This window comes from Homo sapiens, chromosome 1 (assembly GCF_000001405.40).
Source record: "Homo sapiens chromosome 1, GRCh38.p14 Primary Assembly".
Lineage (NCBI taxonomy): Eukaryota > Metazoa > Chordata > Mammalia > Primates > Hominidae > Homo > Homo sapiens.
Window position 1 is genome coordinate 33,702,970 of NC_000001.11, and position 13,842 is coordinate 33,716,811.

Here is a 13,842-nt window from a genome sequence, read left to right on the forward strand (position 1 = left end):
TTTATCACATATATAATTAACATATAATTATATACATTTGGTTTTGTTTGTCAACTTTCTATTCTATTGCATTTGTCTATTTGTCTATTCCTGTGCATGACCCACACTGTTTTAGCTACTGTAGCTTTACAATATATTTAAATAATTAGTAGGAAAAGTCCTCATTTGTCTTCTTTTAACTTAAACAAAATTCTCCCAGATGTACTCTTCTAAACTCAAGAATTTTCCTGAATTATAAAAAGTAAAACAAAAAACTCCCCAACAAAACTTGTGTAATTCTGACTGAGCTACATTAAATGTATAGACGGATTTGAGAAAAATCTATCTATGTGATATTGAGTCTTCCAATCCATATACATGGTGTCTAGCTCCATTTAATCAAAATGTCTTTTATGTCTCTCACTACCATTCTGTTCTTATTCCTGGGTATTTTTATATTTTTGATTGCTATTGGGAATTGGGCCTTTGTATACATTTATTTCCTAACAGAATATTGCTTGATGGTCCAATTCATCATTATGTGCAGGTGATTGAGAAATCCAAGAGAATCTATGCACATCCATTACATCCAATAAAGCAGGTCAGCAAGATGGCTGGTTTCAAAATGAATATGCTAAGCAGAAAGCTTTCTATACACAATTACAAACAATGTAAGCATAATTTCTATGAATATTCCTGCATGTCCGCTTGCACACGTGTGCTTGAGTTTCTCTAGAGCATACATCTAGCATGGAAAAGCTGGTTGTGGGGATGACACATCTTCAATTTGGTTAGATATTACCAGATTGCTCTTTGAAAAGGAATAGCAATTTGCTCTCTCACCAGCAACGTCTGACAGCTTTCATTGCTTTATATCCTTGCTGATACTTGGTATTTTAGGGCATTATGATGTTTTCCAATTTGATGAGTGTAAAGTGGTATCTCACTTTAATATGTAAATCCTTGATCGCCATTGAAGTTGAGCATCTTTTTATGTTTATCAACAGTTCTTACTTCCTTTTCTGTGAATTGCCTGCCTTTTCATACCCTCTGTGCATCCATGAGAATGAAATCTCCCTGCATTTATTTTAGTTACATCAATATCAAAATAAAATTTTATCTTCTCTCAGTTAAGATCATGCACATTTTGGAGGGCTTATTTCTAGGTGTCTTACAGTTTTTGTTTCTATTATAAATGAGACTTTCCCTCCTGATTGCAAGTTTTATTTGGTTATAGAAACACCAGAAGCTTTGTGAATTTTCTTATTGATTTTGAGTTTATTAGTTGATTGTTTTGTATTTTTGAAACAAAAGTCACAATTTTCTATATTCCTTTCTAATTTTTATAGTTCCTTTTTTTCTTTTTCTGGTATAAATGTAATGGTTTGTCTCTTCAGTACAATGCTGCGTTCTATTGGTGATAGTAGAACTATTGATCTTGTTCTTGACTTTACTGAAAATCTTTAGGAAGTTTTGCCATTAAGTATAATGTTTGCTATAGGCATTTGGTAGAAATATTTTTATCAAGTTAGGAAAGTTCTATTTGTAGTTTTATGAGATGTTTTCAAAAATCATGAGTGGGTGTTGAACTTAATCACATGATGTTTTGGGGTGTATTAGCAGGATAATGTCTTTTTCTTTGCTAATCTGTTTATAGGCTATTAGGTTGAGCCATGAAATTGCCAATATTTTAACAGTTTTGACCTACAAAAATAGCAATTTCATATGGTTTGTCTAACAAATAACATTATGAGCTTTTCTAATTTTGACACATCCTCACATTCCTGGAATCAAACCTACTTGGTCGTCTTTGTTTGCTTGTTTGTTTTTTGAGACGGAGTCTCTCTCTGTCACCCAGGCTGGAGTGCAGTGGCTGCAATCTTGGCTCACTGCAAGCTCCACCTTCCAGGTTCACGCCATTCTCCTGCCCTAGCTTCCCAAGTAGCTGGGACTACAGGCACCCGCCATCACGTCCCGCTAATTTTTTTTTTTTTTTTGTATTTTTACTAGAGACAGGGTTTCACTGTATTAACCAGGATGGTCTCATCTTTGTTTTAATACATAGCCAAATTCAATCAGATTTATACTCAAAATTTTTAGATCTGTGATCAAAAGTGAGACTGCCCTAATAGTTTCTGATTTCTGTTCTTTTTAAAATTTTTATTTTAAATTATAAATTGATAAATTATAGCTGAATATATTCATGCAGTAGAAAGTATGTTATGATTTATGAATACGATGTGGAATTAGTAAATCAAACTAACATAACCATCACCTCAAATACTTATCTTTTTCTGTGGTGAGAACATTTGAAATTTACTCTTTTAGTGATTTTGAAATGTATGATACATTATTATTTGCTATATTCACTGTAACGTGCAATACATCTCAAAGGAAAAAGAAACCCTTAATTCTTCTGTCTAATTGATGCTTTCTATACTTTGACCATTATCTCCCCATTCCCTCAATCCCCTGGTAACCATAATTTTACTCGTTGATACCAAAGTTTCTACTTGCCTCATTAAGAAAAAATGAGTTGGGAGATGGTTCTTTATTTTTCTCTCTTCTGAAGAGTTTATTGCAGGGATTAATTGCTTCTTGAAGTTTTGTTAAGCTTACCTGTAAAATAGTTAAGGCCTGGGGCTTTTGAGAGAGGATACGGGGGAATCATAATTTTTTAATGGTCATTGTTTTTTTTTCAGATTTTTTTTAATATTAGTACTTTTTATCTATAAAAATTTCCATTTCATCTGAGCTTTCAGATTTCTTGGCTTACAGTTGTTCCTAAACATTCCTTCTCTTTTTTGAAAAAGGGTCTCACTTTGTCGCCCAGGCTGGAGTGCAGTGGCGTGATCCCTAAACATTTTCTTATTTCCATAATCTCTCCTATATCTTTGATTATGTCCCTTTTCAATTCCTAATATTACATATTTGTGGCTTCTTTATTCCTTGATCAGTTCTGCTAGTATTGTCTACTTTATTATTTAAAAAAAAAAAAAACAGTTGGTTTGGTTGACAATTGCTATTGCTTTTTAGTTTTGTTTCTCTAGTCATTTCTGCCTTTATCTTTAAAAGTATCTTTCTCCTACTTTCTTCTGATTTATTATGTTACATTATTCAAGCTACCCAAATCTTTATTTATCGTTAAGTTAGGTGATATGTCACAGACTTACAGAGGTATATTAAAATCTTCCATGATGGCTGTAACTTTATTAAATTGTTTTACATTTCCAGCGGTTTTTATTTAATTTATTCGTGCTATGTTATTTGGCACATAAAGTTTTACTGTGGATTGATTATCCATTTTATTAATATAAAATAATCCTCTTTTTCATTTCCTTATGAGATGTGGGAGAAATTCTCAAATTTATCTTTTAATAAACTGATTTCATTTTTCTGTGGTTTACCATCTTCCGTTCATTGCCTCCATTCCATTTTTTAATTGGGTGATCATGTTTTTCATCTCTATTCAATCTCTCCTCATCTCAGATTGCTCTGTTTTCATTATTGCCTATTTTTGTGTCATAAATATAATATTCTCTCAAATTCTCTTAAGAATACAAATTAGGAGCTTTTAAAGTATGTCTCTGTTCTTCGTTGCCTACAGAGGGGCAATTAGCTCTGATTCCGAAGACATGTCTTCTTCTTCTGATCTACTGAATATTTACACATATCCAGTTAATTTTCTTGTTGGCACACCACAACAGAGGGAAAATGGAAATTGGGAATGGAAACACTCAGCAGTCTCTAAGGGAGAGCAGAGGAGCTAAACTCAAAGAGGCCGTAGCAGGAGCATTTCCTACCCTGGTGCTAAAGAGTGTGTGTGTGTGTGCATGTACGTGTGTGTGTGTGCGCGTGCATGTGTTTGTGCGTGCGTGTGTATGTGTGTGTGCGTGTGTGCATTGTGTGCGTGTGCATGTGTGTGCATGTGTTTGTGTATGCGTGTGTGTGTGCACGTATGTGTGTGCACTACCTGGGCTCCTGCATCCTCTGTTAGTCCTCCCTGAACTCTGACCTAGGTTTTATGCCCCATGTCCCTCCTCCTTTCTTACCCTGACCACCTCAGAAAGACTCTCTCTGCTTATCTACTGAGCTGCCCACCTGACCCTGAAGCCAGAACCCTGACGGTGCCGTTGAGTGTGCACACCTGCTGACTATGTCTTAGGTGCTATTCTGAATCTAGACCCCCTTAGTGAGGAAGCATGGGCACTGGCCATACTCCATATGACCTCCAGCAACCTGGGAGCCATTTCTGCTGGCTCTATCAGGTCACTTGCACAGAACCACTGCTTATACTCCCTTCAAAACCTGAAAATTGTAAACTATGCCTCAAAGCTGGCTTTTTGTGCTAATGGCCTTCATCCAAGAAAGCCTCTGCATTGCCCAGCTTGCGTTACTCCATCTGTACCTCTACAGAGAGGAGGTCCCTCTGGTGCTGCTGTACTGATTGCACCCTCTGAGACTCAAATGGATGGAGGGAAGTGAAGGTCAAGGGTGATGCCTAAAGACATGGTTATTGGAAGGGCATAAAACCCTTGTCTTGTATTCTCTTGTTGGGAGACACACACTGTTTTTATGTGGGGTTGGAAAGCAGAGCTTAAGAAGCCAATGAGATTGTTCTATCCCATTTCAGGCACATCCAGTCCCAGCCAGTGATCTCATGAGTGAATCTTCTTGGGTTCAAAAAGGATTAGGTAAGAGTGAGAAATGCATTTCAAACACGCACGCGTGCACACGCGCGCGCGCGCACACACACACACACACACACACACACACACACACACACACACACACACCATACACCCCAGAGGACATATGCCCCAGGGGGTTGGCCAAGAGTATCCATCATCTGTACATAAAAAGGACAGCACATTTATCACATCTGGAGATAATCTGAAAGCATGGAAATTTAATGGTTTATCTTTGGATTTTCCAGAGTAGTGGGCTCTGGTTCAACTTTTTCCAATGTAAGGACTTCTCTGGCTACAAGGAATAAAACTATATTAGAAAAAGCTAAAAAAATTCCTTGGCCTAGAATGAAAATGAACATGCTTTGTATGAGGCTTTCCTTATCATTCATTTTATTAAGGCAGCTCTTTAATAAATTCTCCACGCTCAACTCTGTGATTACACAGACATACACCACACATTATTGGAGGTACTCAATCACATATTCTTTGTATTTATGCAAAGAAACATAAGACATATATGCTCAGTGTCTTAACAAATCCCTCTCTATGACCTTCTCTGTAATCCAAGTCCTATCATTTCCTTCCCTTACATATGTCTCAAACTCACTTTCTTTAACCCCACTGCCACACCAGGCCATCATCGTAGTACACTGAAGCTACTGCAATAGCCTGTTATTCAACCAAAACATACACAATGCACAAGTGCACATACACACAATATGCTGACACAGGTATGCACAGACACAGATCCCCAAAACCAAATAAATACATGGACACCGATTCACACACAGGTGGAAACATATTTAAAAAAGCATCTATATCCATAAATACATAGCTACACAAATGAACACACACATGCATATATATACATGTTCTATGAGCTCTTCATCATCCATGTTGACGGTCAGGGCTCAAAATGGAAAACTGGATCCATTGGCTGCTCCAACCGAACTTATTATTATTATTATTATTATTATTTTGAGACAGGGTCTGACTCTGTCACCCAGTCTGGAGTGCAGTGGCATGATCATGGCTCACTGTAACCTCAACCTCCCTGGCTCAAGTGACCCTCCCACCTCAGCCTACCCAGTAGCTGGGACTACAGGCATGCACCACCACACCCAGCTAATTTTTGTATTTTTTGTAGAGATGGGGCTTTGCCATGTTCCCTAAGCTAAATTATTGTCTTTTATTATGCAGTCAACCCATACTCAATTACACATGCATTTGATAGCAGGCAGCTTCTAAACAAACTCTAAAACCATATTCTTAGATACCCATATACCCCTCTCTTTTGGTCCTCTCTTTCTCCCAGATGAGTGAGGACAGTATTTTGGGACTCAGGAAGGAAGGAGAAAGTTTGGATCATTCACACAGAGACAAAGGAGTGAGTATTGACTAGACTATTGCATACTATAACACACATACTCTGAAATCGATCAATTTTACCTTGAGGACATCTCCTTCGGAGAGTTCGAATGCCCTGGCTTTCAGCTGAATTCCCTTCCCTGGCTGGGTCTGGATGGAGTAGATGCATTCATGATTGTTATTGTAGTTCACAGGAAAGTTGGGGGACAGCAAAGTACCCTGAGTGCCTGTGACTGAATTCCCACACTCAGCTGGAAAGAGAATCACAATAACCATAGATTAACCCCCATCAGCTGCATCCAGAAAGCAACTCACAGCTCTGAAGAACCTGACAAAGATGACAAGTCGTTTGCCTGTCTACCTGCCAAGGTGCCTGCGTGTCTGTCCAGTTGTTGGACTGTCTACAGAAATGCCTCTCAAACTTAAAAAAAAAATACTTCCCTACCTATGGTGCTGCCTGCTTTGTTTCTGTCTCTTGTGCTGTTTGTCTGTCTCTCTCCTACAGAAACAGACGCTAACCCACCAGGCATCCTTTACAATTTCTCAGTGCTATAAAGCAGCCGTGCCACATACCTATTCATATAGTAGCGTAGCAACAGAAATGACCGAGGAGGAGGTCAGGGGAAGAGGGGGGCAGTTAAGTGAGGAGAGATGAAGCCTTTCAGTATCACAGAATAGAAACTAAGAGGGGGCAAGATCACATCATAATCGCTAACCCTTATGTGCAAAACAGCACGATTGACACTTTACAAGGACCATTTCAGTCATTAGTCGCAACAGCCAGCCCCATAATGTAGGCACAATGATCATTTCTGGTTTAAAGATAAGGAACCAGGTACTCAACCACTGAGACCAAGCCTCTCTGTGGATTCACGAGGAGGAGGGGGCTGAGAACTCAACCTCCTGGGTCCTGGGGAAAGTTTTTAGCATAGTCTCATTGCAGCCTGTTTCATTCAACAGCTAATGAAATCACACCCTCCTCTGGAAACTGCTTCTCCTCCTCCAGAATTAGTCATTCTTTCCCCATTGTTCTCATACCTTTATTTATAGTAGTCATCCCATTTTACTTCACTTATTTGTTAACATTTCTATGTCCTCTACTGCACTGTGGATCCTTTGGGGCTTGGTCGTGTTACTGTCTCCTTAACACCCACACAGTGCGTAGGCAGGGCAGGCTTAGGGCATGCACAGAGGAATGGGATCTTTAATAATTGGGGGGCCCCTCCCTGTTCCTTCCTGTATCTGAGCACCTCCCATATTGCACCTTGATTGCTTGCTGCCTGTCCTGTGTCCCCCACCTAAACTGTCAGTAACTTGAGGGCTAGGGTCATGCTGGATGAATCTATGAATTTCCAAGGCTTAGCCTGGATTGTCTGTAAAATAAATATTTACTGAATGAATGAATGAATGAATGAATGAATGGATATGGAGTACACTGACCTCAGAAGATGTACAGTCCTAAAAATAATAATTAGGTTCCGGAAGGATGTAAATACAAGTCCAGATGGCAGGCCTGTTATTCGTGTGGACATATGGGGAATTTGGAGCATGCCTTGAATCTTTCAGGCGGCTGGTAGCAAATCTGCTTTCTCTAAACCATCCCTCAGTATCCTTCAGTCCAGGCACAGTCTGTGGCTAGAAAAGCCCTGGGGTTGACCAAAGGGCCATTGCTTGGGCCTTATAGTTAACCCTAATTACCCTAAGCCAGGAGCGTACTAGGCTGAGGCAGCATAGATGGAGAACATGGAAACCTTCAGAACATGGAAACATAAGCTGCTCATGGGCTTAGTTATACATCTTGTGTTTTATCTTGTCCTAAGGCTCCTCATTAGTCCTTTGAAGATGGGGGCCACATGTCCCACCACCAAGTCCCTACTTTTCTGAATGGACCCTCCTCCCTGTGTCCTGCTCAATTCAGGACCAGCTTCAGTTTCCTAAGACTTTATATATGGCCTCATTTATTTCTCTTGGAGGAGAAATCTAACTTTACAGTACTTTTAAACTTAGTCTGTTTGCAAAACTTCCAAATATCATGATGAATGTGCTGAGATGGCTCATAAAACTCAAGGGACAGTGGTGGGCAGGCTCCCTGGGGGCAGTGGCTGCTGATAATTTACATAGACGTTTCCAGCATGTGTACATTTCTTTGATGATCTCAGATGAGGGTGAGGGTGAGGATTTGTCGGGGGGAGGGGGAGTTGCTTAGGGCCATGCATATGTAAACACTTATTACTCAGTCATATCACATGGGCAGCCTTCTGAAGCATCTCTCCATTTTCTCTGAGATTACTACCTTTCCCCTCCATCTAGGCAGAGGCCTGTGGTGCAGTGGGATGATCATGGACTTTGGAGTTAGATACATTGTGTCAACTCACTGAAATTTAATCTCTTCATCTGCCTTCATCTGGACAATAATAGCATTCTCATAAGACTGTAGAATCAACGCATGAGATTTTATATATAAGATAGGTAAACATAGGGGAATGGTTAGCACATAGTAGCCTCTCCACCAATGTCCCAGGTGAATCTACATGGATTACCTGCTTCCATTTGGAACCCTAACTGCCTGGATTCTGGGACTGGCAGAAAGCCTGAGAAGCATATGGGAAGCGTGCATTAGCTGCCCGAGGCTCACAGCACCCTCATGGTTCCTGATGCCTCTTGCCCTCTGCCTAATTCTCGACAGCTGGCTTCCCTTAAACATGGGCTTGGGTGTGTTTTTGGACCTCCTTCCTGGCCCTGCTTCCTGCATAAGAGCTATGTGCCCCACCTCTGCCCCAGCACGAGCCTCTCCTCCTTCCCACACGCCTGATACCTTTACGAGGAGGGGCTGATAGCTTTAGATGTGGCCAGTCCTTGGCCAATCCCCAGGTCCTGACTCCCTGTCAGGCCTTTGTCCTGGGCACCAGGGAGGGGACAGGAGGGATAGAGGGACGGGGCACTTGCTTCCGGGAGAGTCTCCAAAGTAACAGGGGAGGTGAACAGATGAACTTAGAAGCCAAACACAGGCACAAATGGAAACAAATAAATGTTCCAGAGAAACAAACAGTCACAACCACAGGTAAGTGCTGTGGCTGATTCTGGCATCTGTGACTTCTGTCGCCCCCATCAGAAGGGGTCTCGTTAAGGGCAGAGGTTGTACCTTATCCATCAGCCTGGGGCTTCTGAGGCAGAGGGTTAGGTCTTCTCCATCACACCAGGATTCCCAAGGACAGGGCCATGTCTCTTGCTGCAGACTGGGGTCCCCTGGGGTCAGGGCTGTCTCTTCTACATCAAATTCAGGGGCCCCTGATGTCAGGGGCTATGTCACCTCCCTCCCCGCCACCCACGTCACACCATGCATTAAAGCCCAGGGCTGTTCATCTCCTTCTCGGCTGGAAATGTTCCTGGTAGCACTATGTGGACTAAATCATCCAATTTGCATGGCGACTGGGAGCAGCCCCCGGTGGGCATTCCTGAGATGCCTCCAGCCTGAGCCTCGGCAGCAGGGCTGGTGGTAATTAGAGGTGACTATAACTACTGTGCATTATTAATAACATGTGAAACAGAAGACAAATGTAATAATGAAAATATTGTGAGGTGTCATGAACAAACAGTAATTGGAATAATAAGTTAAAGAATGAGTTTATGTAATGAGATCAATGAGGCAAGAGCTTAAGGGCTGTGTGCATCTGTGGTCCTGGTTAATTCCATTCAAGGAGAATTTCCCCCAGAACCATTTAGCTGAGGATGCTTTCCCAGAGACTAAAGGAGCTGCTAGCAGCCAGACATGAACTGAACCTTCCTGGGGTGGGTGGCGGGGTTCTATGTGTTTCTGAGTGTGTGTGGCCAGATCAGGGTGGGTGGATGCCTTTGGGGATGGTTATAGGAGACGGAGTAAACCCTGGGGTTATTTAATTGTTCAGAAATGGAATTCTGTAGCTCTTTGTTTTAATGTTTCCTTTCTGAGATTGTAAAAGGTTATTGGCAAAATAACAATAATTGGTTATTGATAAATACAGATAAAAATGTTATTGGCAAAATGCTGATAATTATATGCCACCTCTTGGTTTATGTAAATGATGTCATCTAAGGTAGAGTAAAGCCTGTGAATTGGATGCTGTTATCTCTGTTTTATAAACAAGGAAGCTGAGGTTAAGGGGGTTTGCTGGCCTGCCTGAGATCTAGGCGTTGGTAAGTGGCAGAGCAGTGACCCCACCTTGGCCTGCATGAGTGCACAGCCTGGGCCCGGCTCATCTTGCCAGCCTGTCTAAGCTGTCCTCGGCATAGCCTGAGGGCTCCATGGACTTGTCTCGGGCACAGCTGACCTCACTGGCATTTGAGATGCTGGTCCCTGTTTCAGTCAGTGCAGTGCTGCTTTGATCTGTTTTGTATATTTTTATGGGGTTTTATATACTATTTCACTTTACGTGAGGTCCATGGCTAACAGTGAGCATGGAAAATACTCCATGAATGCAGCTAGTGTTTTATCCAGCCCTACATTATAAGGATTGAGCAAACAGGCACCCAGGAGCCTCATACATTAGGGACAGACAGCAATCACTCCGCCCTGGGGAAAATACTTGCTTCCCCTACTACCTGGGCACAGCGCTCTGAACAGACTTCTTTAAAGCTCTTGCAAGGAGGCTGGCAGGGCCCACTTCCAACTTCCAACAGCTGCCTCTAACCTCCACATCTCCTGTTCTCCCTGCCGCTTGCTCCAGCTTGGCCTCTGAGCTGTTCCTCAAATGCTGAGCATGCTCATGGTTTGGGTCTTGGTCCTCTGTTCCCTCTTCTCCCAGATATCTATCTCTGGCCAAACGTCAACTCATCAGAGAGGCCTTTTCTGACCATGATAAAAGAGCAACCCTAGCTCCAGCACTTTCTAAGCTGACTTAATTTTTCTCTGTATGCCTCAACACTGCCTGACACATCACATATCTAAATATTCACAGCTTGTGTCCCCACCACCAGAATGTGGACCACGAGTGAAGAATTTCTCTGTTTTGTTCACCTTTGTACCTTCAGAACCTAGCAGATGCCTGAGATGTAGTGGGTCATCTATAAATGACCCCGCCCCTGTTCCTTTTGTCCTCCCCTGCTGAATGGATGAAGCCTTCCTAAGGCGTCTCTAAGAGTGAGCACCGCCATTGGATTAGTAAAAGCACCCATCTACTCCTCCAGATGGGGACTCCCCCTGGGCAAAGGTCATATACCCCTCCTACAGGCCCACCTAGTGCCCATCCAGATTCCTCGGTAAGAGGCATCCTTAAGCCATGGGTCTGTGTGCTGAGGGTGGGGAGGTAAGAGTACTGAAATCGACTTCATGTGAGTGCCCACTGTGGACCTAATTTGTAAAGGTCACTGTAGTTTATACAGAACTGCCTGATGAAGCAGGGATTGCCATCCCTATTTTGCAGATAAGGAGGATGGAGCAGAAGGAGGTTAGGTTACCTGCCCCGGGTCCCACTGCAGGTAAGTGTGGTAAGTGTGGGCTAAGTCAGCCTCTTGGCCTGTGTGCCGTCCACCACCTCACATCAATTGACTATAATCTGTCCCACCCCATTAGTGAAGCAAAATGAAAGCACGTGACCACCTACCAACACACCTTGGCAGAGGCGAGCTCCACAGGCGCCGTCTGCCCCCCAGGCACGTGATGCGGGCGGTGCCCTCCAGACGGTACCCGGGGAAGCAGGAGAAGGTCAAGGTGTCGCCCACGCCAAACTGCAAGCCCTTCCGGATGCTGTAGGCTGGGACCTCGGGCTCCTCACAGGGCTCCAAGTCGTACTCTGGAAAGGTAGCAGGAGATCCGGGCTCAGAGACATTGCGGGGAGACACAAAGCAAAAAGATGGGAACGCACAGGCAAAACACCAGGGGGAAAGGGCCAGGGACAACGAAAGACAGAGAAGAGGGCATGCGCACACTGGCCCACAAAAGGTGACACTGGCCCAAAAAGAGAAGAAGTGAGAGCCCGAGGGGAGCAGAGGCAGAGAGAAACATGGGGAAGCACGGGGAGGCAGAGGCAGAGAGAAGCACGGGGAGGCCAGGACGGGCGGTCTGCACCCACTCCTGTGAGCAGTGAAAGGGCACAGCCTTTCCTAGACAGGCTTCCCAGGAGGATTTCTGAGGATCCTCAGGACTCAGCTCTTCTCTGTGCTATCCTTTTATCTCCATTTTAAACCTGTGCCTTGGGGCTCACAGGCTCTCCTGCTTCCTTGTCTCTGGGCAACAAACTAGATACATTCAACCAGCAGGTTCTAGAAGGTCAGAATACATGACTTAGCCTCAGGCAACTCCCACTGGTGAAGACACTCCAAATGCCTGACGAGAAGCCATGTCTCAGCTACGTTGGCACTTGAGGCAGACGGCAAGCATGACCAGGGGCATTTATGGGCCAAAGCCCTGCCTGGGGCCTCTAGTGACAGCATAGAAGTGACTAGTCCCTCGTCTGCAAGGGCTTCTCCCTTCAGGATGCAGTCCTCCAGGGATGTGTGATGAGAAAGAGGGTCTCTCTCATAAGGGTTGAGTCTCACTGGCTGGATATGTCCCATTGGCCAAGTGAATCCAGGGATGTGACAGGTGACTTCTGCATTGGAGGCCTGGCAGGGGACTAAGCTGGGCCACACCCCAGTTCCTAGAAGCTGGATACCTCTTGTCCATCCCAGGAGGAATCCATCTGATACTCCTGGCCGTGGCTGAGAAAGGTGGAGGGAGGTACTCTGGGGTGCTACGGGACAAGAATGGTGAAGGGCTCGGTATGAGAGGAGCCAAGGGTCCTCTTTTCTCCCTGAATGCCAAATAAAAGCACTTTCTTTTCCAAATCCCTAAACAGAGAGATAAATATCTATTACTACAAAATTAGCATTGATGAAAAAGATCCCAAATGAGACTAAACCACTCCAATATGTTAATTTCAAACCTTTTTTTTTTTTCATATTGCTGGGGTTGGCAATGTGGAAGTGGAATCAGAAGAAAAATCTCGAATAACTAAGGTAGGAAGGGACTTTTGTGAAGTCCTCTAGTTCATCCAGCTAGGTGGGCCATGTTCAGAGCAAATCCTAAACACCTTCATAGAATAAGAATCCTCAGTGATTATGCTAACTCCTTCCAAGACCATTATAGGTAAGTTCTTACTTGGGTCTAACCCAAGCATCTTTTGCTGAAGCACTAAGGTCAACTTCCCAGGGACTGGAGAGTGGATTAATATCTATCTGCTAGGAAAACCAGAGACTGGTAGCAGAAGGAGAGAGCAAATAGCACCATGGTCTCTTCCCCTCAGGGACCCTCATACTCTTTACCTGAGAAGGTGATGTTGAATCCTTCATATGACATGGAGAAATCAGAGATGAAGCGGACCTGGGCAGTGAAGTTGCCATAGAGCCCAGCGCTGATGGGAGCTGGCAGCCGAGATCCAGTTAGCTGCCTCAGGGGCTGGGTGAAGCTGCCGTTCTCAGTGATGAGGAGGTAGTCATGGCCACTTTCCAGGTGGAAGGTGTGGAAAGTGAAGAACACACCTGCCAAGAGACCAGAGGGTCAGGTTGTTGATGGCGAGATGGCTGGAGAACCTCAGCTGCAAGACAGGATCTACACAAACATTTCCAGTTTGCAAATGTCTATCTGTGTGTATGACTACAAGCATGCATTGACAAATCATACAGGTGAATCTGAATGAAGGAACCTGAACACACAAGTGCCCAGAGATTCAGTCAGGGAGAAGAATTTTACAGTTCTTCTTTTACAGTTCTAAAATTACAGGGAGAATTTTACAGTTCTCAAAATTTAAAAGAGAGATTTATGGCTTGACCTATGAGAATGCTTTAGAGA

The 13,842-nt window shown here is 43.4% G+C and overlaps 1 protein-coding gene across 12 annotated transcripts in view; it reads right to left on the minus strand.

The window, feature by feature from the left end:
* Positions 1-13,842, minus strand: part of CSMD2 (CUB and Sushi multiple domains 2) — a 651,845-nt gene that overhangs the window by 188,972 nt on the left and 449,031 nt on the right. For all 12 annotated transcript variants that reach the window (XM_047443685.1, XM_047443656.1, NM_052896.5 and 9 more), the window contains 3 exons: positions 13,317-13,532; positions 11,618-11,806; positions 6,120-6,289 (listed from right to left, as the gene is read on the minus strand). In XM_047443685.1, the coding sequence (XP_047299641.1) occupies positions 6,120-6,289; positions 11,618-11,806; positions 13,317-13,532 (575 nt within the window). The remainder of the gene's footprint in view (positions 1-6,119; positions 6,290-11,617; positions 11,807-13,316; positions 13,533-13,842) is intronic.